Source organism: Homo sapiens, chromosome 1 (genome assembly GCF_000001405.40).
Source record: "Homo sapiens chromosome 1, GRCh38.p14 Primary Assembly".
Taxonomy (NCBI): Eukaryota; Metazoa; Chordata; class Mammalia; order Primates; family Hominidae; genus Homo; species Homo sapiens.
Genome location: NC_000001.11, coordinates 21,976,560 through 22,001,656, shown reverse-complemented (window position 1 = coordinate 22,001,656; position 25,097 = coordinate 21,976,560). Strand labels below are relative to the sequence as shown.

At 50.0% G+C, this 25,097-nt stretch overlaps 1 protein-coding gene and 2 pseudogenes across 5 annotated transcripts, besides 2 other annotated features; all 3 read right to left on the bottom strand.

The window, feature by feature from the left end:
- Nucleotides 1-3,014: 3,014 nt before the first annotated feature.
- CELA3B (chymotrypsin like elastase 3B) lies at nt 3,015-24,635 on the bottom strand. Of its 5 annotated transcripts, none has more exons than XM_047416581.1 (9): nt 24,575-24,635; nt 23,203-23,288; nt 20,736-20,833; nt 20,485-20,619; nt 17,827-17,963; nt 17,326-17,468; nt 14,974-15,126; nt 6,144-6,191; nt 3,015-3,506 (listed from the first exon to the last, which is right to left on the bottom strand). In XM_047416581.1, the coding sequence occupies exons 1-9, from the start codon at nt 24,615-24,617 to the stop codon at nt 3,468-3,470; spliced, it is 882 nt and encodes a 293-aa protein (XP_047272537.1). In that variant the 5' UTR covers nt 24,618-24,635; the 3' UTR covers nt 3,015-3,467. The 5 variants fall into 5 exon arrangements, 4 of the variants coding, with proteins under 4 accessions (XP_047272537.1, XP_047272539.1, XP_047272536.1 ...); XR_007058565.1 differs by lacking the exon at nt 6,144-6,191 and adding an exon at nt 12,078-12,240 and having other exon boundaries at nt 3,391-3,506; XM_047416580.1 differs by having other exon boundaries at nt 3,391-3,506; nt 6,074-6,191.
- Nucleotides 13,738-13,841, bottom strand: RNU6-1022P (RNA, U6 small nuclear 1022, pseudogene; annotated as a pseudogene).
- On the bottom strand, nt 13,880-14,176 carry RN7SL386P (RNA, 7SL, cytoplasmic 386, pseudogene; annotated as a pseudogene).
- Nucleotides 14,528-15,027: an enhancer, noted in NCBI's record as "H3K4me1 hESC enhancer chr1:22313123-22313622 (GRCh37/hg19 assembly coordinates)". NCBI's record gives its function as "activates a minimal SCP1, AML or CMV promoter by ChIP-STARR-seq in naive H9 embryonic stem cells {active_cell/tissue: H9 hESC(naive)}" and the evidence as "EXISTENCE:reporter gene assay evidence [ECO:0000049][PMID:30033119]".
- Nucleotides 15,028-15,529: an enhancer, noted in NCBI's record as "H3K4me1 hESC enhancer chr1:22312621-22313122 (GRCh37/hg19 assembly coordinates)". NCBI's record gives its function as "activates a minimal SCP1, AML or CMV promoter by ChIP-STARR-seq in naive H9 embryonic stem cells {active_cell/tissue: H9 hESC(naive)}" and the evidence as "EXISTENCE:reporter gene assay evidence [ECO:0000049][PMID:30033119]".
- Nucleotides 24,636-25,097: the final 462 nt, after the last annotated feature.

The window sequence follows — 25,097 nt, the reverse complement described above, 5'->3', positions numbered from 1 at the left end:
AAAAGGGCACAGAGCCTGGGGCTCTAATATAGGGCAGAAGGTAAGCAGGGGGGCTGATTGGGCCCCACTCCCAGAACAGGTGGTGGAACTCCAGGTCTCCCATGGTCCAAGGCCACAGTCCTCGCCTGCTGCAGATGGACAAGTGACAGCCAAAGGGAGGACCTAGCGTTCCCTCCAACAGGTGGCTGGACAGGTGGTGTGGAGTGGCCAACTGATAACAAGAGTTCAGGAAGAAAAGCTCATGTCAGGACAAGACCTCCTCTTTCGGAAAGAACAGGGGCACTGGAACCGGGCAGACCACGGTTCAATCCTGGTTCTGCCACCTTCAAGCTCTGCGACTTTGGGCGCATGGCTTAACCTCTCTGAGTCTCAGTTTTCTGCTCTCTAACATGAGATTTATATTAGTACCCACCTCCACAAAAAAATTCTTGTTGAGCACTTTTTCTCTATGTATCAGGCACTGTTCTAGGGGATACAGCTGTGAAAAATGCATGGTCTCAGCCCTTCTAGAGTTTGAGTCTAGGCCAGGAGCGGTGGCTCACACCTGTGATCCCAGCGCTTTGGGAGGCCAAGGTGGGAGGATCACTTGAGGTCAGAAGTTCGAGACATGATGAAACCCTATCTCTACTAAAACTACAAAAATTAGCCAGGTGTGGTGGTGAGCACCTGTAATCCCAGCACCTGTAATCCTAGCTACTGGGAGGCTGAGGGAGGAGAATCACTTGAACCTGGGAGCGGAGAGGCAGAGGCTACAGAGAGCCGAGATCATGCCACTGCACTCCAGCCTGGGCCACAGAGCAACACTGTCTCAAAAAACAAAAACAAAACCAAAAAAAAAAACAGAGAAGAAAAGAAAATGAAACATAGGTGATTGGGGTAGGAATGGGAGTAAGTCATTTAGATGGGGGGGACAGAGAAAGTGACATTTGGGCTGAGGAGGTCATATCTGATGGAGTCCTGAGGATAAGTAAAAGCCAGCCACGGGAATCCCTGAAAGAAACGCGCTCTGAAGGGAGGCGACAGCAGGTGCGAAGTTCTGGAGGCTGCAATGGGCTTGACTTGTTCAAGGAAGGGGAGGCCAGTGTGACAGGAGCTTGGTAGTCAAAGTAGAGAGGGGTGGGAGATGAGGTCAAAGAGCAGGCGACCCCGAAAGTGGAATTCACAGGTGATCCAGCCGTTTCCCTCCTAGGTCTATACCGTGAGAAAACCTTAGGCATGTGCTCCAGGAGGTGTGGATGAGATTGTTTGCCGCAGCCCCTGTTCTCAAAACTCAACAGCAAAGACCTAGAAACAACTCCCACGTCCATCAAGGTTCATAGGTCAATATGTGTAGCATATTCACACAATAGATTTTTTTTTTTATAGTGGTGCGATCTTGGCTCACTGCAACCTCCACCTCACGGGTTCAAGCGATTCTCCTGCCTCAGCCTCCTGAGTAGCTGGGATTACAGGCGCGCACCACCACGCCCGGCTAATTTTTGTATTTTTAGTAGAGACGGGGTTTCACCATGTTGGCCAGGCTGGTCTCCAACTCCTGACCTCTGGTGATCCACCCACCTCGACCTCCCAAAGTACTGGGATTACAGGCATGAGCCACTGCATCCGGCCAGACGGGGCAATTTAAATAGATCCCTCCTGGGGGAAAGTCAGGCATCTTGCTGAGCAGGTTTTGTTTTAGGAGTGAACCCCCTCCAATCACAGCCTAGCCACTCTGATAGCCTGGGTTCGTGGAACGTGTGTGGACACAAGGGAAGCAGCTGTGAAAATCCTTTATACTGTGATAAAAATAGCCATGCCCTCCCCTACCCTCTGTTCCCTATGTGCCCGGACATGTTTGCTCAGCTTGAAAGCTCTGAGCCATTCCCCAGACCCTACGCCAGGGAAGAAGGAGGGAGGGGCCCAGGAGGTGGCTGGGGAGAGATAGGGTTAGGTCCGATAAGCCCAGATTCCACTGTAGAGTGTCTGAAACCCACAGGGCCTAAAACGCGATCTAATCCAACCACTTTTATTTGACAGAAGGGAAAATGATGGGCCAGGCACAGTGGCTCACGCCTGTAATCCCAACACTTTGGGAGGCCGAGGAGGGTGGACCACCTGAGGTCAGGAGTTCGAGACCAGCCTGACCAACATGGAGAAACCCCATCTCTACTAAAAACACAAAATTAGCCGGGTGTGGTGGCACATGCCTGTAATCCCAGCTACTAGGGAGGGTGAGGCAGGAAAATCGCTTGAACCTGGGAGGCGGAGTTTGCGGTGAGCCGAGATCGTGCCATTGCACTCCAGCCTGGGCAATAAGAGCAAAACTCTGTCACAAAAAAAAAAAAAAGAAGAAGAAAATGATGACCCAGAGAAAAGCCAGGACTTGGTCAAGTTTCCCTGGTTTGTTACTGCTTGGCCTGGTGAAGGGTAGCCCACGGACACGGGAGGGTCCACTCTCCCTCCCCCAACTTCAACCGAGAAGCCTTCCCGGCTTCTTACCCAGGTGACCTTGAGCAAGTCCCAGCCTCTCTGTCGGCTCTGCTGGGTCCCCAGGGAGAGGGGCTCCCTGACGCCAACTGTCCCACCACAACCCCTGCCTGATTGGTTACTTCAAGGCCTTATGGACTGACACTGGCAGTTGCACGGCTGATTAACTCTCCGAGGGTTTTCTGGCCTAGGAGTAGCTTGAGTGAAATCCCTGAAGATGAACCTCCTTCCAACACCTGCCCCGCAAGAGGGAAGATGGAGGGGTTAGATCTACTTTAGGCCTCAGCCTGAAGCAAAGCAAGCCATTTCCTGAATGGGAGGTGGAGGTTAGGTCGGAGAGTATGCAAAATTAGGAGGTCAGTCTGGGAAGGAGAGGGAGGGCGGGGAAGCTGGCGAGGGGACGGAGGGGAAGCTGGTGAGCCTTTTTCCCGGGACTGGGGGAGTTCCATTCTTTCCAGTTCCCACCCCACAGGAAGCTCTTTGAGGATCAAAACTTTATCTTATTCATCTTCCGATTCCCAGTACCTAGAAGGGAGCCTGGCACATGGTAGGTTTTCAACAGCATTTATTCAAGGAGACAACAAATGAATGAAGGAAGGGAAAGGACTCTTCAAATGCCCTCCGCTTCCTACCCTGAAAGCACGGTTGAGCCTGATATTCATGCAGGATGCACCTGGAGGGTGTCCCCTCTGTGTGGCCTGGAAAAGCGCAGCAGCATCTGGATGGTGTCCTGATGGGCACATTCTAGAGATATTAATAGATGTTTGATGATAAATGGACCCACTAGAACGGAGCCCCCATGGGGCGGGGGGTTTTGTGTGCTTTGTTCACTGCTGTGGCCTCGGCTCCCAGAATATAACCCAGTGGGCACTCAGTGAAGAACTAAAGGTCAGATGGGATTGGAAAATATGAGCTCAAACAAAGTTCAAATTGTCCTTTCCTACAGGACTTCTCAGAGCCTTTAATATGCCAGTGTTCACGGTGAATCACACACAGTGGTCCTAAGTCCGGGACTCTGGTGCCTTGTTGCCCTGTAGTTTCTGTGAAAATAAGATATTCAAAATCTAAGCTGTTGGAACTTTAAAATACCTTAGACTTAAGGGAATGAGATTATGGGACCTGAGTAATGTAAACAGGAAGGCATAACTTTTGTTTGTGTTATCGATTAGCTTTTCCTTAACTACATTGTTTTATAAAATGTTGTAAATGACTAAAGGGTGACAGGGCAGACTGTTTCCCTCTCAACAGTCAATCTTCATTATAGATTAACTTCCTTCTTTTCTCTCTCACACAAAGACTTCATGACTATCACATTATCTAAGATAGAATGTTAAATACACAAATTGGAAAGGAAAATAAAACAAAGTGTATGGAAAAGAAGACAAATTTTAACTAGCTATATTGTTGTAACTCATAAACCAGCCTGGTATAGAAATGTTATAGTCCTACTAAATTTGTTTCCTGCCTGTATGAGCAAGATCATAATTTTTTTTTTTTTTTGGAGACGAAGTCTCACTCTTGTCCCCCAGGCTGGAGTGCAATGGCTAGATCTCGGCTCACTGCCACCTTCGCCTCCCGGGTTCAAGTGATTCTTCTGCCCTCAGCCTCCCAGGTAGCTGGGATTACAGGCACCTGCCACCACACCAGGCTAATTTTTGGATTTTTAGTAGAGGCAGGGTTTCACCACATTGGCCAGGCTGTTCTCAAACTCCTAACCTCAGGTGATCCACCCACCTTGGCCTCCCAAAGTGTGGGATTACAGTCGTGAGCCACCACGCCCAGCATTTTTTTTTTTTTTTGAGACGAGTCTTGCTCTTGTCTTGCTCTTTTTTTTTTTTTTGAGATGAGTCGTGCCAGACTGGAGTGCAATGGCACGATCTCAGCTCACTGCAACCTCTGCCTCCCAGGTTAAAGCAATTCTCCTGCCTCAGCCTCCCAAGTAGCTGGGGTTACAGGCATGTACCACCACGCCCGGCTAATTTTTTGTATTTTTAGTAGAGATGGGGTCTCACCAGGTTGGCCAGCCTGGTCTCAAACTCCTGACTTCAAATGATCTGCCCGCCTCAGCCTCCCAAAATGCCAGGATTACAGGCGTGAGCCACCACGCCCGGCGGGACTTTAACTTTTAACTTTGGAGCACTTACTCCTCTTCTCTGGAGCCCATGTTTCTGGATGACTATTCTCAGATTTTTGCTGGAATAAATTCTTAAAAACCGGATTCTGATCTCTTTGATGACTACAGGTCAACATTTCCCAGCTACCAGCCCCAGCTGTCTCAGATGGGTCAGCAGTGTCAGGGATGGGGAAGGAGGCCCTGCAGGTGCCCCACCTGTGGTACAAAGAAGCCACCATGGGAACCCAGGGCTAGGACAGTATGCAGGTATCTCTTGTCCCAGGGAAGGCATCATCCCGGCTGGGATCCAAGGAGGTTATTGAGCAATGGCAGTGGGGACAGGCACAGCCCTTTCCCCACGGCCAGTGCCATACCTTCCCGATGTTACAGGAAAGGGGTCCCAATCTAGATGCCAAGAGAGGGTTCTTGGATCTTGTGCAAGAAAGAATTCAGGGCGAGTTCGTAGAGGAAAGTGAAAGCAAGTTAATTAAGAAAGTAAAGGTATAAAGAATGGTTACTCCATAGACATGCCCTTTTTTATGGTTATTTCTTGCTGATATGCTAAACAAGGGGTGGATTATTCATGCCTCCCCTTATTTTAGGCCATATAGGGTAACTTCCTGACGTTGCCATGGCATTTGTAAATTGTCGTGGTGCTGGTGGGAGTGTAGCAGTCAGGACGACCCGAGGTCACTCTCATGGCTATCTTTGTTTTGGAGGGTTTTGGCCGGCTTCTTTACTGCAAACTGTTTTATCAGCAAGGTCTTTATGAGCTGTATTTTGTGTGGATCTCCTATCTCATCCTGTGACCTAAAATGCCTTAACCTTAACTGGCTATCTGTCTGGGAATGCAGCCCAGGTCTCAGCTTCATTTTACCTGGCTGTCGCTCAGGCTGGAGTACAGTGGCGCGATCTCGGCTCACTGCAGCCTCCACCTCCCAGGTTCAAGCAATTCTCATGCCTCAGCCTCCCCAGTAGCTGGAACTACAGGCATGTGCCACCACGCCCGGCTAATTTTTGTATTTGTGTAGAGACCTCATTTTGCCATGTTGGTCAGGTTGGTCTCGAACTCCCGACCTCAGGTGATCTGCCCGCCTCAGCCTCCCAAAGTGCTGGGATTACAGGCTGAGCCACTGCGCCCAGCCTGACTGGCGTGCTTATATAAAGTGGAAACTGGGACACAGAGAAACTGCGGAGAGGGAAGGTGGCCATCTACAAGCCAAGGTGAGGGAACAGAACCTTTGCTCGTAGCCCTCAGAAGGAAACAAGCTGCTAATACCCTGATTTCCTTCTTCCAGCCTCAGGATTGTGAGACAATCAGTTTCTGTTGTTTAAGCCACCCAGTTTGTGATACTTTCTTCTGGCTTCCCTGGCATTAAAAGTGATGGCAAAAACTGCAATTACGCTTTTACACCAATCTAAAAATAGAGCATGAAATGGCTCCTCCAGGTCAACCACATTCCAGATGAAAAAAAGGGAAGGGGATAACTTCACCTTTACATGGTCAACCTGAAATTTGTAGGCATCTCTTCTGCCACAGCCAGAAATCAGCACACAGCCTCACCTGGCTTCCTGGGAGACAGGCAAGTGTGGTTTCCATTCTGCACAGCCCCTGTACACAATAAAAAGTCCTCTTAACAAGCAGGGTGCAGTGTCTCATGCCTGTAATCCTAGCACTTTGTGAGGCCGAGGCAGACAGATCACGAGGTCAGTAGTTCAAGACCAGCCTGGGCAAAATGGTGAAACCCCCGTCTTTACTAAAAATACAAAAATTAGCCAGACGTGATGGTACACACCTGTAGTCCCAGCTTCTTGGGAGGCTGAGGCTGCAGAATTGCTTGAACTTCAGAGGCAGAGGTTGCAGTGAGGTCATGCCACTGCACTCCAGCCTGGGTGACAGAGCAAGACTCTGTCTCAAAAAAAAAAAAAAAAAGAAAGAAAAGAAAGGGGGAGAGCCAATATTGGGGACAGCCACCACAGGTCTCTTCCACAAAATACAAATATTTTCAGATGCAAACAACAGGACACTCTGCCTAAGTGAAACAATTAGGATTTTTTTTTTTTTTTTTTTTTTTTTGAGACAAGTCTCACTCTGTCGCCCAGGCTGGGGTGCAGTGGCATGATAGGAGCTCAGTGCAGCCTCAACTTTCCTGACTCAGGCGATCCTCCCACCTCAGCCTGCCGAGTCGCTGGGACTGCAGGCACGCACCACCACGCCCAGCTAATTTTAAAATATTTTTTGTAGAGAGAAGGTTTCGCCATGTTGCCCAGGCTGGTCTCAAACTATTGAGGTCAAGTGATCTGCCTGACTCGGCCTACCAAAGTGCTGGGATTACAGATCTGAGCCACCATGCCTGGCCACAACTAGGAAATGTACAGTCTCACAGGACTTCACTTTAAGTGGAGAGGCAGGGGAGCTGAAGAGAGATGCACCCGAGCTCAGGCTTAGGATTTCTGCCGTTCCACTGGCTCTGCCCCACACCGGCTGCTGGCTTCCTCCTCAGGATGGAAGTCTGCCTTTGTCAGTCAGAGTCAAACCAGAAAACAGAAATCTCAAGTATTTGAAGTATAGGGAATTTAATCTGGGGAATTGGCTGTCTCGGTGAGGGAGGTGCAGAGAAGCCAGCAGGGAAGATGTGGGAACCCAGAGATTAGTACAGCTCCCTCCCAAGATGGTAGGACAGAGAGAGGAGATGCTGGTAGCTGGAGCCCAGGAGCAGAGGTCACCTCGCCAAAGCTGGGCCCAGCCCAGGCATGTCTGGTGGGAGCAGTGGAGGAAGTGTAGGGAGAGAAGTACCTTTTGGAGGATAGGAGGGAGGTTTCTCTCTCCCTCCAGCCTTTCAATCTCCCACTGGAAGTGGGAGAAGCCTGCTGTCATAGGTGCCTGGGAAATCCAGCCTGCCCCTGCCCAGCCACGATACAGCAAGGAATAAATCTAAGGACTGGAGCTTCTCTGGGATGGGAGCAGAGAAGTGGGGCTGGAGATTCCTGCAGGGCAGGCACACAAGGCCACAGGAGGCCTTTGAAGGGTTTTCCACAGGAGAACATGATCCAGCTTATGTCTTGAAGCATGTCTCTGGCTGCTGAGTGGGAAACGGTTTGAAGAGGAGCCAGAATGCCATCAGGGAGGCTAGTGTGGGTTCTGCAGAGGTTCTCCAGGTAACCAGGGTGGGGGCAGTGGAGGAGCGGATGGGCTGAGGTCGAAGGAGGTTTTCAAGAAAGACAAAATCTGAGTCCAGGTGCAGTGGCTCACACCTGTAATCCTAGCACTTTGGGAGGCTGAGGTAGGTGGATCACTTGAGCCTGGGAGTTCAAGACCAGCCTGGGCAATGGGGTGAAACCCCATCTCTACAAAAAAATACAAAAATTAGCTGGGCATGGTAGCATGCACCTGTAGTCCCAGCTACTTGGGAGGTTGAGGTGCGAGGATCACTTGAGCCCGGGAGGTCAAGGCTGCAGTGAGCAGTGATGGGGCCACTGTACTCCAGCCGGACAACAGAGCGAGACTGCGTAGAAAAAAATTTTTTTTAAAGAAATTCAGAAGTATTTGGCTTTGAAAAATAAATGAACAAATACAATTTCTTTTCTTTTCTTCTTCTTTTTTTTTTTTTTTTTTGGAGAGGAGGTCCTTTCTGTTGTGCAGGCTGGAGTGCAGTGGTGCGATCTCAGCTCACTGCAACCTCCGCCTCCCAAGTTCAAGCAATTCTTCCACCTCAGCCTCCAAAGTAGCTGGGATTACAGGCACGCGCCACCATGCTCAGCTAATTTTTTGTATTTTTATTAGAGACGGGATTTCGCCATGTTGGCCAGTCTGGTCTCGAACTCCTGACCTCAAGTGACCCACCTGCCTCAGCCTCCCAAAGTGCCGGGATTACAGGCATGAGTCACAGTGCCCAGCCATAAATACAATAACCTTTTTAAAAGAAAATTTAGTATTTTGTTGATTTAAAGAAAATTATCCTTGGTATTTTAGTGCGGAAATACATCAAAGCATGACTGTAACTGTCTTAAAAGCGGATATTGTGATGTGGTATCAGGACACCTGGACATCCTGCCATTAGAACTATGTTCTAACTGCCACAAGATTTTTCTTTCTTTTTTTTTTTTTTGGAGACAAGGTCTCAATCTGTCACCCAGGCTGGAGTGGTACAGTGGTGCAATCACAGCTCACTGCAGCCTCAACCTCTCGGGCTCAAGTGATCTTCCCACCTCTGCCTCCCAAGTAGCTGGGACTACAGGCATGTGTCACACCACCCAGCTAAGATGGGGTTTTGCCATGTTGCCCAAGCTGGTCTCAAACCCCTGGGTTCAAGCAGTCCTCCAGTCCTCCTACCCTAACCTCCCAAAGTGCTGGGATTATAGGCATGAGCCACCGTTCCCAGCTGCCTGAGATTTTTCCTTTTCTCTAGCAGCTCAACAAGCACTGGCCTTGAGATCAATAATATTAAAACAACTGCAGCTCATCCACCACCAGACCCTAACACACCCCCTGCTCCTGCTCCAAAGCCATAACTCCAGCTTTGATTGGTAAGGACACAGATTTCAGTAACTTTCTCCTGATAAGAAGACCACAGACCACGGACTGGTTCTGTCTGGTTTACAGAAGCTGCACTTGAGTACCTTCATGTTCCTGCTTCACCTTTTGATGCACAGGGTCTTGTTGTCATGCTTAAAGAGGTGGGGTCTCACTATGTTGTCCAGGCTGGAGTGCAGTGGCTATTCACAGGTGCGACCATAGTGCACTGCAGCCTTGAACTCCTAGCTTCAAGCTACCCTCCTGTCTCCACCTCCTGAGTAGCGGGGACTATAGGCACATGCCACCATGCCCAGCAGTAATGCATTTAAATGTCAAGTCTCCACCCCACAGTGAACATGGGACACATGTAACATACGTTTGTTCAGTACACATGTGTCAGGACCCCCTTTGTTAATATTTACAGCTCCTTCTTTTTTTTTTGAAACGGAGTTTTGCTCTTGTCACCCAGGCTGGAGTGCAATGGCATGATCTCAGCTCATTGCAACATCTGCCTCCCAGTTTCAAGCAATTCTCCTGCCTCAGCCTCCTGAGTAGCTGGGATTACAGGCACCCACCACCACACCTGCCTAATTTTGTATTTTTTAGTAGAGACGGGGCTTCACCATGTTGGCCAGGCTGGTCACAAAGTCCTGACCTCAAGTGATCCACTGGCCTCAGCCTCCCAAAGTGCTGGGATGACAGGCATGAGCCACTGCGCCCAGCCCACAGCTCCTTCTATAACCTGTTGAATATGTATGTTTAGCCAACTCTTTCAGCTTCAAGCTTCCACTTCAATCCCTCCTCCTTTGGAGTGCCTGTTTCTGATCTCTGCAGGAGGCTACACTTCCCAGCCTGTCAGCATGGCCACCATGCAGGCTATAACCCTTTATAAGATATAAAATCTCCTTTCCAAATTTATAGATCCTGGCCCGGCACAGTGGCTCACACCTGTAATCCCAGCACTTTGGGAGGCCAAGGCGGGTGGATCACTTGAGGTCAGGAGTTCGAGACCAGCCTGGGCAACATGGTGAAACCTCATCTCTACTAAAAATACAAAAATTAGCTGAGCGTGGTGGCATGCGCCTGTAGTCCCAGCTGCTTGGGAGGCTGAGGCAGGAGAATTGCTTGAACCCGGGAGGCAGAGGTTGCAGTGAGCTGAGATTACACCATTGTACTCCAGCCTGGGCGACAGAGCGAGACTCCAACTCAAAAACAAAAAAAATAAGCCAGGCATGGTGGTGGGTGACTGTAGTCCCAGCTACTCGGAAGGCTGAGGCAGGAGAATCGCTTGAACCTGGGAGGCGGAGGTTGCAGCGAGCCAGGATTGTGCCACTGCCCTCCAGCCTGGGTGACAGGCTGGATCTAAAAAATTATAGATCTCTTGATTTTTTTTAGTGAATGATTGTAATTAATATTTTTTAGAATATGAAGCAAAATGTGAAATTTGTTAATTCTGAAGGGAGGATACCTATCTGAGTCTCTGCTATATTATTCTCTATGTTGCATCTTTTTCAGTTGTAGCTGAAAGTATAAAGGGAGGCTACAAATGGGCCATTAATATCAAAGTCATTTGTGTGTGTCCTTGCTGGGACAATCTTCCCTTTCATGGTGTTCAAAGAGAAATATGAGGAAAGAGATTCCGTTGAATTTTTTTTTTTTTTTTTTTCAGACAGAGTCTTGCTCTGTGCCCAGGCTGGAGTACAGTGTCACAGTCTCAGCTCACTGCAGCTTCTGCCTCCTGGACTCAAGTGATTCTTCCACCTCAGTCTTCCGAGTAGCTGGGACTACAAGTACCCACCACCACACCTGGCTAATTTTTATGTTTTTTGTAGAGATGGGGTTTTACCATGTTTCCCAGGCTGGTCTCAAACTCGTGGGCTCAAGTGATCCACCCACCCTGGCCTCCCAAAGTGCTGGGATTACAAGTATGAACCACCAGGCCCAGCCAGACTCCCTTGTTTTATGTTGCTTTTGTCTGTGTAACAGCATTCTTTTTTTTTTTTAAGAAGGAGTTTCGAACTCGTGACCTCAGTTGATCTACCTGCCTCAGCCTCCCAAAGTGCTAGGATTACAAGCATGAGCTACTGCACCTGGCCAGCGTTCTTCCTTTCAAAACTCAACTGTTTGCTGGCTCTGGGCTCGTGCGCAGCATTGTGTGTACCTGTGTGTGTATACCTGTGTACCTGTGTGTGTGTCTTCTCCCCCCTTCAGTAAGGGCTCTTCCTAGGGTTGCCTGACTTGTCTCTGTTTTTCCAGCCCTGAACTTGCCACAAGGCAGGTACCTAATACATGTTTAATGAATGACCGTGATATGCTCATGACATGGTTAGGCTTTGTGTCCCCACCCAAATCTCACCTTGAATTGTAATCCCCATAATCGCCATGTGTCAAGGGAGAAGGTAATTGAATCATAGGGCGGTTCCCCCATGCTGTTCTCATGATAGTGAGTGAGTTCTCGCCAGATCTGATGGTTTTATAAGGGGCTCTTCCCCCTTTGCTAGGCAATTTTCCTTCCTGCCACCTTGTAAAGAAGGTCCCTTGCTTCCCCTTCATCTTCCACCATGATTTTAAGTTTCCTGAGGCCTCCCCAGCCATGCTGAACTGTGAGTCAATTACACTTCTTTCCTTTATAAACTACCCAGTCTCGGGCAGTTCTTTATAGCAGTATGAACACAGACTAAGAGAGCTATCTTTAAATAATGAGTCACTTCAGGGCAGGAACCATGTCTCCTTACCCCTCTGAGCCCTCCTTTAAAACAAGGAATAAGTGTTTGTTGAATGAATGAATAACCAAAGCCCCCAGCCCATCAGTGGAAGCAGATCACACATTGTCCTTCCCACTCTACCATGAGCCTGCTGAGGGGCTGGCAGGGTCTGTTTATCTGCAGATTTTTACCATGTTTATATGCCTGCATTGAAAAGCTACTGACTTATGTGCGACTATATACTAAGGCGACCAACTTGTCCCATTTTTCCTGGTACCTTCCCAGTTTTAGCATTAAATGTCCAGTGTCTTCACTCCTGAAGTTCCAGGCAAACCAGGATGGTCAGGTCACCGCACAGCAACTCCCTTCTCTCCCAGCATCATTTTTCCCTCATCTTCGTATGAAAGGGTTGGACCTGGTCCTGTCTCTGCATATGAGATCTAAGATTTTAGGAACAGGCCAGAGGGGAAGAGGTGAGTCAACAAAGAAAGAAAGATTCAACTTGGAATTTTCTGAGAGATCTTTATTCTTTATTCAGGATGTGGGATCGATCAGCACTGCCAGCTGGGCCTTGGTTCTAGTGGCTTGCTATGGTCTGGAAAAGTTGGGGGGGCAGACAGAATAGTCAATTTAGGAGCACAGGTTCTGGAGTCAGATGAAACTGGGTTCAACTTCCAGCCCTGCTGTGTGACCCTGGGAGAGGAATTGACCTCTCTGAGCCTCAGTTTCCTCCTCTATGTAGTAGGGATAATGATAGAACTTACCTCATGGGGGGGTTCTTGATTAAATTGTTAACTAAGGTTCTCTCTACAATGGCCAGCATGAATTTAGATGGGATGTGTGCATAGATATATATACATATATATGTGTGTGTGTGTATATATATACGTCTGTGTGTGTATATATATGTATGTATGTATGTATGTATATAAACAAAATATATATTTTTGGAGTTTTTTTTCTTTTTGAGACAGAGTCTCACTCTGTTGCCCAGGCTGGAGTGCAGTGGCACAATCTCAGCTCACCGCAACCTCCACCTCTTGGGTTCATGCCATTCTCCTGCCTCAGCCTCCCAAGTAGCTGGGACTACAGGCGTACGCCACCATGCCTGGCTAATTTTTGTATTTTTAGTAGAGACAGGGTTTCACCTTGTTAGCCAGGATGGTCTCAATCTCCTGACCTTGTGATCTGCCCACCTCAGCCTCCCAAAGTGGTGGGATTACAGGCATGAGCCACCATGCCCGGCTTTTTTTTTTTTTTTTTTTTAAGATGGAGTCTTGCTCTGTCGCCCAGGCTGGAGGGCAGTGGTGCAATCTTGGCTCACTGCAACTTCTGCCTCCCGAGTTCAAGCAATTCTTCTACCTCAGCCTCCCAAGTAGCTGAGATTACAGCCATGCAGCACCACGCCCAGCCAATTTTTTTATATTTTTGTAGAGACAGGATTTCACCATATTGGCCAGGCTGGTCTCGAACTCCTGACCTTATGATCTGCCTGCCTCGGCCTACCAAATTGCTGGGATTACAGGCATGAGCCACCGTGCCTGGCCTTATATATATATTTTTTTAACATGGGTCAGGGAACCAAGGGATTAAATGGTCTATAAATCATCACTGTTTTTTTGTTTGTTTGTTTGTTTTTGTTTTTGAGATGGAGTCTTGCTCTGTCACCCAGGCTGGAGTGCAGTGGCGTAATCTCGGCGCACTGCAACCTCCGCCTCCCAGATTCAAGCAGTTCTCCTGCCTCAGCCTCCTGAGTAGCTGGGACCACAGGCATGCACCAATACGCCCGGCTAATTTTTTGTATTCTTAGTAGAGATGGGGTTTCACCATGTCGGCCAGGCTGGTCTTGAACTCCTGACCTCAGGTGATCCATACGCCTCGGCCTCCCAGAGTGCTGGGATTACATGCATGAACCACTGTACTTGGCCAGAAATGTTTTTTTAATGGAAGCCTTCATGACTTTGCATGTCATCCTTGCGCAGGGGCCGTGCTAATCTCTATATCATTCCAATTTTAGTACATGTGCTGCCAAAGCAAGCACTACTGTTTTATTTTATTTAGTTTATTTTCATTTTTTTAAGAGAGAGGCTCTTGCTGTGTTGCCCAGGCTGGAGTACAGTGGCTATTCACAGGTGTGATCCTACTACTTTTCAGCATGTGAGTTTTGACCTGCTCTGTTTCTGACCTGGGACAGTTCACCCCTCCTTAGGCCACCTGGTGGTCCCCACTCCCAGGAGGTCACCACATGGATGCCAAACTTGGTGCAGAACCAGATGGGTATAGCGCACTATGGCCCAGAACTCCAGGGCTCAACCGATCCTCCTGCCTCAGCCTCCCAAGTAGCTGGGACTACAGGTGGGCATCACTGCACCCAGCTAGCTATTACTCTTTTTTTTTTTTTTTTTGAGACGGAGTCTCGCTCTGTCACCTAGGCTGCAGTGCAGTGGTATGATCTCGACTAACTGCAACCTCCGTCTCCCAGGTTCAAGCAGTTCTCTGCCTCAGCCTCCCGAGCAGCTGGGATTACAGGCACCCACCACCATGCCCGGCTAATTTTTGTATTTTTAGTAGAGACAGGGTTTCACCATCTTGGCCAGGCTGGTCTTGAACTCCTGACCTTGTGATCCACCTGCCTCTGCTTCCCAAAGTGCTGGGATTACTGGCATGACTACTCCATGCCCAGCTATTACTCTTTTTTTTTTTCTTTTTTTTTTTTGTTTAGCTATTACTGTTATCAGGAGTGTTATTAGTCCTCTCTGATCACCCATCCCCAGATGAAGTCTGGGGCCTGGACTCCCCTCTCTCGGCTCTCATCAGACTGCATCGTTCTCATTCATGTAATCACCTGTCCCCCACCAGGCAGCCTCTTGTCTGGCATGTCTCTCTATCCTCCCTGACAAGAGAGGACAAGACCAGAGGAGATACTTTATAAATACTTGTTGAAATAAGGAAGTTCAGCTGTAGTTCCAAGCACCACCCAGAAGCCATCAAGTTCCTGGGGTCACACTGTATCAGAAAACATCCCCAAGCCTTTCTGGAATGTCCCCAAGGGCCCTTCCCCACTGAGCTTCTAGGATCCTTTCAGGCCCTCCCCAGGATCCGATGTTTCTCACCTGTCACCTCTCAGAAGAGCCACCACCCTAAAGCCCTCCGGGCCGCCCTGCCCTCCTCACCTCCTCAATCCAGTCAATGAAGGCGGAGACTCGAGTGAACACCGTGGGCTTCCTGCGGGTGTTGCAGCCAAAGGCAGAAACAAAGCTGGTCACGCCATGGACCTGCCAGCCACCATCCTCTGTGGGGCAGTTGAGGGGTCCTCCAGAGTCACCCTGGAACCGTCAGAGAGGTGTGGGTGGCTGAGCCATGTCTGAGGTTTATGGAACTGGTTCTGAATTCTAGGGATTTCGAGAAACTCCGACATTACCTGACTCCTCTGAGCCTTAGCTCGCTCATTTTTTTTAATCATTTATTATTTTTATTTTTTTAGATGGAGTCTCGCTCTCTTGTCCAGGCTGGAGTGCAGTGGAGCTAGCTTGGCTCATTGCAACCTCCGTCTCCCGGCTCCCAGGTTCAAGTGTTTCTCCTGCTTCAGCCTCCTAAGTAGCTGGGATTACAGGTACCTGCCACCACACCCAGCTAATTTTTGTATATTTAATAGAGATGGGATTTCACCATGTTGGCCAGGTTAGTCTCAAAGTCCTGACCTCAGGTGATCCACCTGCCGGGGCCTCCCAAAGGGATTATGGGTGTGAGCCACCACGCCCAGCCAGCTGACTCATTTGTGATAGGGAATAGTAGTATCTGTCCAAGAGCCTAGGGAATTACATGAGATGATGCACGATCTTAGCACGATATCCAGTAGAGAAGAAGCACTCAGTAAACATAGTTCTTATTAGTAGCACCATAGTTAATTATTAATTCATACTCAATTATAATACGAGGGTATTTGATAGTATTCTTTTTTTTTCTGAGTCAGTGTCTCGCTCTGTCGCCCAGGTTGGAGTGCAGGGGCGCGATCTCGGCTCACGGCAAGCTCCGCCTCCCAGGTTCACACCATTCTCCTGCCTCAGCCTCCCGAGTAGCTGGGACTACAGGCGCCCACCACCATGCCAGGCTAATTTTTTGTATTTTTAGTAGAGACGAGGTTTCACAGTGTTAGCCAGGATGGTCTCGATCTCCTGACCTCGTGATCCGCCCGGCTCGGCCTCCCAAAGTGCTGGGATTACAGGCATGAGCCACCAAGCCCGGCCATTTTTTTTTTTTTCTTTAACAGACAAGGTCTAGTCCAGGAAAGTGGCTCACATCTGTAAACACAACACTTTGGAAGGCCAAGGCAGGAGGATCACTTGAGCCCAAGAGTTAGAGACAAGCCTGGGCAACATGGTGAGACTTCATCTCTACAAAAAATTTTAAAATTAGCTAGGCATTGTGGCACACACTTGTACTCTTGGCTGCTTGGGAGGCTGACATGGGAGGATTGCTTGAGCCCAGGAGGGCAAGGCTACAGTGGGCTGTGATGGCGTTACTGCACTGCAGCCTGGGCAACAGAGCAAGATCCTGTCTCAAAAAAAAAAAAAAAGACAACATCTTGCTCTGTCGCCCAGGCTTGAGTGCAGTGGCAAAAATCACAGCCACTGTGAGCTTGAACTCCCAGGCTCAAACAATCCTCCCACCTCAGCCTCTCAAGTAGTTGGGACTACAGGCGAGTGCCACCATGCCTGGCTAATTTAAAAAAGTTTTTTTTGTAGATGGGCATCTCACTATGTTACCTAGGCTGGTCTCAAACTCCTAGCCTCAAGCAATCCTCCCGCCTCAGCCTCCCAAAGCACTTGGATTATAGGCATGAGGGACTGTGCCCAGAACAATGATGGTATTCTTAATGTTTAATTATAACTTTATTATTATTTTTTTTTTAGACAGAGTCTCACTCTGTCGCCCAGCCTGGAGTGCAATGGTGCGATCTCCACTCACTGCAACCTCTGCCTCCTGGGCTCTAGTGATTCTCCTGTCTCAGCCTCCCAAATAACTGGGATTACAGGCACCGGCCACCATGCCTGGCTAATTTTTGTATTTTTAGTAGAGACGGGGTTTCACCATGTTGGCCAGGCTGGTCTCGAACTCCTGACCTCAAGTGATCCACACGCCTTGGCCTCCCAAAGTGCTAGGATTACAGGCATGAGCCACCATGCCCAGCCATAATTATAACTTTAGAACCACAGAATTGACCTGCGTTGGAGGTCATGGGACCAGTATCTCCTGCTGTGCTGATGCGGAAGCCTGAGGACCAGGGAGACACAGTGACTTGTCCCAAGTCATGTCAGTGTGTGAGCTGAGACTGCAACCCGGGGGTCCTGACTCCCAGGCCTGGGCTCTGTGTCTGGACTGCGCTGATTTCCTCCAAGTCCTGCCTGGCCTGGAGGCTGAATGGGGCAAGCAGGCAAGATCCTTCCTCCACCTTCCAGGCAGTTGGCCCCATTCCAAGGTCCTGCACACCCAGCACCACCTCGGGCAGGTAAGAGCTGACTCACATTGCAGCCGGAGCGGATGTCCCCTCCAGCACACACCATGGTCTTCTTCACGGAGGAACCCCACCAGTTCCACCTGGAGCAGTGTTCATAGTCCACCACCGGCAGCAGGGCCTCCTGCAGCTTGTCTGGGAGTGGCCCGTTGGCTGCAGCGATAAAAAGCACCGAGTCAGGGGTCTGGGGGCACAGGGCTAGGAGCCCCAGAGGAAGGGGGCATCCAAGGCGCACAGTTCTTCTGCTCTGATGAGGACTCTCCTCCCACCCGCTAAATGGTCCTGCATGCTTTGTGCACCATTACATCCCTAGCACGTGGCACACAGAAGGTACCAAAACATGTGCAATTGACCACATTCGTGTTTTGGAGGTTGGTGGGAGAAGGCTGCAGCTGGAGAGAAATGGGAGAAAAGTACAAGGTCTGGTCTTGGTGTTACCTTCAACCTGCAGCCCCCAGGCCCTGTCTTTCTGCCACTGTCCCTGTGGCCAGCTAGAGAAGTCAGCACGTACTATAGAGACGGCCCCAGCCGGTGATGTAGCAGGGTGTCTCGTTGGGAAGGATGTCACCAGCCGGAGGGAGTGAGGCGAGCTGGACGGCGTCTCCCAGCTGGGCGCTGCGTGAGAGCTTGATGAGGGCGATGTCATTGCTGGGGAGGAGGGAACAGTCACGGGGCCTGGTCCTCCAGCCGGCCCAAGTCCTACCTTCCAGCCGTTGCTCCAGGCTATTCCGCCTCTGAGATGCCCCAGCTCCTTCACCCTCCAAATCCACTCTTTCATCATCATCATCATCATTATTATTATTGAGACAGAGTCTCCATCTGTTGCCCAGGCTGGAGTGCAGTGTCACAATCATAGCTCACTGCAGCCTCCTGGGCCAAGGGATCCTCCTGCTTTCACCTCCTGAAGTGCTGGAATTACAGGCATGAGCCACTACACCTGGCCCAAATCGTTCTTAAGGCAGAGCAAATTTTTTTATTTTTTTTTTTGAGTCAGAGTCTCGCTCTGTTGCCCAGGCTGGAGTGCAGTGGCATGATCTCGGCTCACTGCAACCTCTGCCTCCTGGGTTCAAGTGATTCTCCTGCCTCAGCCTCCTGAGTAGCTGGGATTACAGGTACATGCCACCACGCTTGGCTAATTTTTGTTAATTATTTTTAGTAGAGACGGGGTTTTGCCATGTTGGCCAGGCTGGTCTAGAACTCCTGACCTTAGCTGATATGCCCGCCTGGGCCTCCCAAAGTGCTGGGATTACAGGCATGAGCCACCGCGCCCAGCCAAGGCTGAGCAATTTTAAGAAACCCTTCTAGTCCCTTGGGTCACTCTGACCCTTGGCCTTCAGAATTGTCCGCTCCTTTGACCCTTTAACCCTCCCAGTTCAGCTGTATCAGAATCACCTGGAGGCTTGTTAAAACAGACTGCTGCGGATCACGAGGTTAAGAGATTGAGACCATCCTGGCTAACACGGTGAAACCCCATCTCTACTAAAAATACAAAAAAAATTAGCTGGGCTTGGTGGCGGGCACCTGCAGTCCCAGCTACCCGGGAGGCCGAGGCAGGAGAATGGTGTGAACCTGGAAGGCAGAGCTTGTAGTGAGCCAAGATTGCGCCACTGCACTCCAGCCTGGGTGACAGAGCGAGACTCAGTCTCAAAAACAAAACAAAACAAAACAAAAACAGACTGCTGCATCCCACCCCAATTTCTGATGCAGTGGATCTTGGCTAAGGCCCAATAATTCACTTTTTTTTTGAGACAGGGTATGGCTCTGTTGCCCAGGCTGGAGTGTAATGGCACGATCTCGGCTCACTACAACCTCCACCTCCTGGGTTCAAGCAATTCTCCTGCCTCAGCCTCCAGAGTAGCTGGGATTATAGGTGCGCGTCACCACACCTGGCTAATTTTTTTTAATTTTTAGTAGAGATGGGGTTTCACCATGTTGGCCAGGCTGGTCACAAACTCCTGAGCTCAAGTGATCCACCCACCTCGGCCTCCGGCAGTGCTGGGATTACCGTGCCTGGCCAATAATTCACATTGCTGCAGGTTCCCAGGTGATGCTGATACTGCCAGCCCAGGTACCACATTTTGAGAACCACTGCCCTCTGTCTTCACCTGCCTGCGTGTCACTCCAGTCCTTTTGTCTGGGTCTCCCTTTTCTCTCTACTCACCCCAGAAGCCCTGTGAAGATGGGTTGAGGTTTCCATCATATTGTGCTTCACTCCTATACTGCATTTGCAGGAGTTCTGCACCCGTCTTTGACCCTCTCGCCAGAAAAAACTCTGAGAAAAAAGTCTTAGCCACTCAGACTTAAGAATTTTTCATATGGCAGGGCGCGGTGGCTCATGCCTGTAATCCTAGCACTTTGGGAGGCCGAGGCGGGCAGATCACGAGGTCAGGAGATCGAGATCATCCTGGCTAACACGGTGAAACCCCGTCTCTACTAAAAATACAAAAAATTAGCCAGGCGTGGTGGCGGGCGCCTGTAGTCCCAGCTACTCGGGACGCTGAGGCAGGAGAATGGTGTGAACCCGGGAGGCAGAGCTTGCAGTGAGCCGAGATCGTGCCACTGTACTCCAGCCTGGGCGACAGAGCGAGACTGCATCTCAAAAAAAAAAAAAAAGAATTTTTTGTACACTTGAAGGGCATAAGATTGTCTCCTTGGCCTTCACAACCACCCGGGAGGCCCAACTTCATGGTCACCTTTTGACAAATGGCAAAACTAAGGCCCAGAGAAGGCCAGTGACTTGCTCAGGCCATACACAGAGTTAATGCCAGAGCCTGACTCTCAGCCCAGTGCTCCTCCTTGTGCCCATAGTGCTGGGAGCCCAGGATGCACTGGGTGAGCCATCTATTGAATGGAGAAACCCTCGGCTTTGGGGGAAGGATGCCAGAGGAACCCTGAGCTCTGAAGCCACTAGCCAAGTGGCCTTGGCAGAGTTCCCGCCCCTCCCTGAACACTGCCATCCCCTCTGTAGGGAGACAGGTTTGGTGGTGATGGTCCTTAAAGGCTCTTCTGGCTTCAATCCTCAGTGTGTGGGACCTGGGCACAGGCTGCTGGACCCAGCTCCCCCGTCCCTACGTCCCAACTCAGAGTTGGAACCTACTCAGACTTGGCTGTGGGTCATGGAGGGATGAGTAGAGGAGCCTCTGGGTTCCAGACCGGAGCATTCACTCACCCACAGGCCACACACGAGCGGTTCCAGAGTGGATGCACAAAGAGGTCCCCAGAGTTGATGGGGATCACCTGCTCGGGGCCCTCCTTCACAGCACGGTCGTACTCGCCCAACACCACCTGGTAGGTCCGGGAGCTCCTGCGGGCGGAGGTGAGGTCAGTCTGGGCCTGACTGGCTACCTCCCTCCTTCCCCATCATCACCCACCCTCCCCAGCTGCCCGGGGCCACAGGCAGGGACAGGGTAGAGAACTCACGAGATGCAGTGGCCGGCAGTCACAACCCAGTCGGGGGCGATGAGGCTACCGCCACAGGTGTGGTAGAAGCTTCCGCTTTTCTCATACTGCAGGGAAACCTGGTGGCCCAGGAGGAAAGGGCCTCAGTGGGCTGGGCCCCACCATGAGAGTTGCCACCAATGGCTGTATAGGTTGTGCACTGTGCAACTCTAGAGGGCGCCATTCACACGGAAAACAAGAGCACCCACTGAAATATGCAGCATACAACCTGCGACCTGGGCAGCTGCCCGTGGTGGCCCTATCACTTTTCCATGGGGGTCACATTCTGATTCTCCAAAGCCTCCCCACACCAGCACTATGACCTCCCTGGGGACCCCAACATTCTCTACCTTCTGTTTCTTGAGAGCCCTTGAAGGCCCTCTGTTCTATCACGCACCCCTCGCCCTGTGACTTTTTTTGTTTGAGATGGAGTTTTGCTCTTGTTCCCCAGGCTGGAGTGCAATGGTGGCAATCTCAGCTCATTTCAACCTCCGCCTCCCGGGTTCAAGCGACTCTCCTGCCTCAGCCTGCACAGTAACTGGGATTACAGGCACCTGCCGTCGTGCCTGGCTAATTTTGTATTTTTAGTAGACACGGAGTTTCACCATGTTGGCCAGGCTGGTCTCGAGCTCCTCACCTCAGGTGATCTGCCCACCTCGGCCTCCCGAAGTGCTGGGATTACAGGCGTGAGCCACCGCGCCCAGCCCCCCTGACTCTTTTGAACCTCAGCTCTTTCAAGGCCTCTTGAGCCTTCTGAAGCACAGCTCACCCTGATGAGTTCTTTGCCTCTCTTCCCATTTCCTACACATTCTGATTTTCAAAAGCTCCATCTAGACCAGGGTTAGCAAACTGTGGACAGTGGGGCACATCAGGCTTCTGGTCTGTTTTTTAATAAAGATGTCCTGGAAATAGTCACATTCATTTCTGTATTGTTTGTGTCTGCTTTCATGCTACCATGGCACAGTCAAGTCATTACTATCCAAACCATCAAATAACCTAAAATATTCACTCTCTGGCCATTTACAGAATAAGCCTGCTGACCCTCTCCGATAAAACTTCCCATAATCATGGGAATGTTCTATATCTTTGCTGTCCAATATGGTAGCCACTAGCCACATGTGACTATTGAACATTTGAAATGTGGCAAGCAGGCCAAGCATGGTGGCTCACGCCTATAATCCCAGCACTGTGGGAGGTCAAGACAGGAGGATCACTGGAGCTCAGAAGTTCGAGGCAAGCCTGGGCAACATAGTGAGACCCCATCTCTACAACAATATATAAAAATTAGCTGGGCATGGTGGCACATGCCTGTAGTCCTAGCTACACAGGAGGCTGATGTGGGATGATTGCTTGGACCTAGGAGGTCAAGGCTGCAGTGAGCTGAGATTACACCACTGCACTCCAGCCTGGGCAACACAGCAAGACCCTGTCTCAAAAAAAAAAAAAAAAAGAAAAGAAAAGAAAAGAAAAAAAGAAATATGGCAAGCACTGAGGAATTGAATTGTTAACATTATTTAATGTAAGTAAATTTCAGCTGGGTGCAGTGACTCACACCTGTAATCCCAGCACTTTGACAGGCTGAGGCAGGTGCATCAGCTGAGGTCACAAGTTCCAGACTGGCCTGGCCAACATAGTGAAACCCTGTCTCTACTAAAAATACAGAATTAGCCGGGCTTGGTGGCGCATGCCTGTAATCCCAGCTACTTGGGAGGCTGAGGTAGGAGAATCGCTTGAACCCGGGTGGCAGAGGTTGCAGTGAGCCAAGATTGTGCCATTGCACTTCAGCCTGGGCAACAAGAGTGAAACTCTGTCTCAATAATAATAATAGTCATAATAATTTAATTTAATTTTTTTTTGAGACAGAGTCTCACTCTGTTGCCCAGGGCTGGAGTGCAGTGGTGCGATCTCATCTCACTGCAACCTCCACCTCCTGGGTCCAAGGGATTCTCCTGCCTCAGCCTCCTGGGTAGCTGGGATTACAGGCGTGAGCCACCGTGCCCGGCCTAATTTAATTAAATTTAAATAGCCACAGCACATCAAGTCCAGCCTTCTGAGCTTCCCTCCACTGGCCTTACAAGATCCCTCACTCCCTTATTGCTTTCAGACCCCATAGCCCTGTTGTATCATCCTAGGAATCTAGAAATGAGTCTCTCAAAATCTCACTTCTTCAACACAGTGCCTGAAATTCCACCATCAGTGTGCCAACTCCTTGAGTTTAGCATTTCCTTCACCCCCGATTCCACTTTTAAGTTGCAAATAGCCCAGTGAGGGTTACAGACGGAATGGGCAAAACCTCCCCGTGAAGTAGATGGTCCAAGGGCTGCCTGGTCTTTGGAAGCTGAAGTGGACATTGCAAAGGGAGCAATGGTGTCAAGGCTGGATGCCGCGCCATTAGAGCTTAGGGTCCAGAGCCCACGGTGGGAATGAGGGCAGCTGCTATTGCTCTTACCTGCCAGGGCCAGCTGTAGGGGACCGCATCCTCACCATTGACAACGCGGCTGGAAGGGCGAGAGGAAGGTGGGCCATAGCCTGAGGCTAGAGGGGAGAGGAGAGCTGTCAATCAGCGGGAGGGTCCCCAAAAGCAAAGAGGAGGCCAGGGTCCCAGTCCAAGCCGTGCCTTCAAGTGGCTGTGTGACCCCATGCAAGCCCCTTTCGCCCTCTGGACCTCAGTAACCACATATGAATAGTGAACATTTAAACTAGAGCAGGGCTTTCCAGAATCCCAAGACTCCAGGGATAGAGATTCAAATGTGGCCTCCTTCATTGGGAGGATTGAAGAGCTTGATACACTTAGAACAATGCCTGGCCCTCAATGAGCCCTCAAAAAGTGAGAGCTATTGTCATACAGAGTGGAGGCTTTAAAGAAGGACTTCCTGGGTTCAAAGTGCAGCTCTGGGCTGTGTGTGGTGGTTCACACCTGTAATCCTAGTGCTTTGAGAGGCCGAGGCGGGAGGATCGCTTGAGCCCGGGAGTTTGAGACCAGCCTGGGCAACATAGCAAGACCTCATCTCTAGAAAAATAAAGTACAATAAAATAAAGTAGCCAGGTATGGTGGCATGTGCCTATAATCTCAGCTACTCAGGAGGCTAAGGTGGTAGGATTGCTTGAGGCCAAGATTTTGAGACCAGTCTGGGCAACAAAGCAAGACCCCATCTCAACAAAAAAAAAAGCAAAAAATAAAAACATTAAGTGCAGCTCTGCCTTTTGTTCTATGATAAGCTACTTTACTTCCTTGAGGGTCGGTAAAATGGGGAAAATGATAGTACTGATCTCCTGAGGCTGTTGTGAGAATTACATGAGAAAGTATAAGGAAAACCCTAAACATTCTGCCTGGCATAGTAAGCACTCAATCAATGTTATCTGTTACCATTATTGTCAGTCAAGGGAGGCTGCTTGGAAGAGGTGGCCCTGAGCTGGAATGTAATATGGCAGAGAGACCAGGAAAAGGCCAGAGCATAGAATATGGAGCCAGGTAGGGGGAGTGTGAGAGGAGAGTTGGAGTGGTAAGCAGAACAGTGGAAATTCCAACCCAAGAAGTCCAACCACACAGCCCAAACTCTTAACCGTTTGACTTTGTTTACTGCCCCCATCAAGGACTTCCACCACAGCCCTTTGGGGTCTTTCTCCATCCACGGCTTCCCCTCCACTCTCCTGCTCCATCATAAGCTGAAAGCCCCCACAGTCATGCCCCCGGGTACAAGCTGAGACCCCCTCCTGTGGAACCAGGCATAGGGTGTCATGGGACTTAGAGCAAGTGGTAGATTTCAAGGATTCCTAATCTAGGGCAGCCCAGGGAGCACACACACAGGTTGGGGTCTTACCAACGGCCACAAGGAGGAGGGAACTGAGCAGCCGGAGCATCATGAGTTTTGCGATGATAGGAAAAGGGCACAGAACCTGGGGCTCTAATATAGGGCAGAAGGTAAGCAAAGGGGGCTGACTGGGCCCCACTCCCAGAACAGGTGGTGGAAATGCAGGTCTCCCATGGTCCAAGGCCACAGTTCTCACTCACTGCAGATGGAGGAGTGACAGCCAAAGGAAGGACCTAGCGTTCCCTCCAACAGGTGGCCGCACAGGTGGTGTGGAGTGGCCAACTGATAACAAGAGTTCAGGAAGAAAAGCTCATGTCAGGACAAGACCTCCTCTTTCGGAAAGAACAGGGGCACTGGAACCGGGCAGACCACGGTTCAATCCTGGTTCTGCCACCTCCAAGCTCTGCGACTTTGGGCGCATGGCTTAACCTCTCTGAGTCTCAGTTTTCTGCTCTCTAACATGAGATTTATATTAGTACCCACCTCCACAAAAAATTTTTTGTTGAGCACTTTTTCTCTATGTATCAGGCAC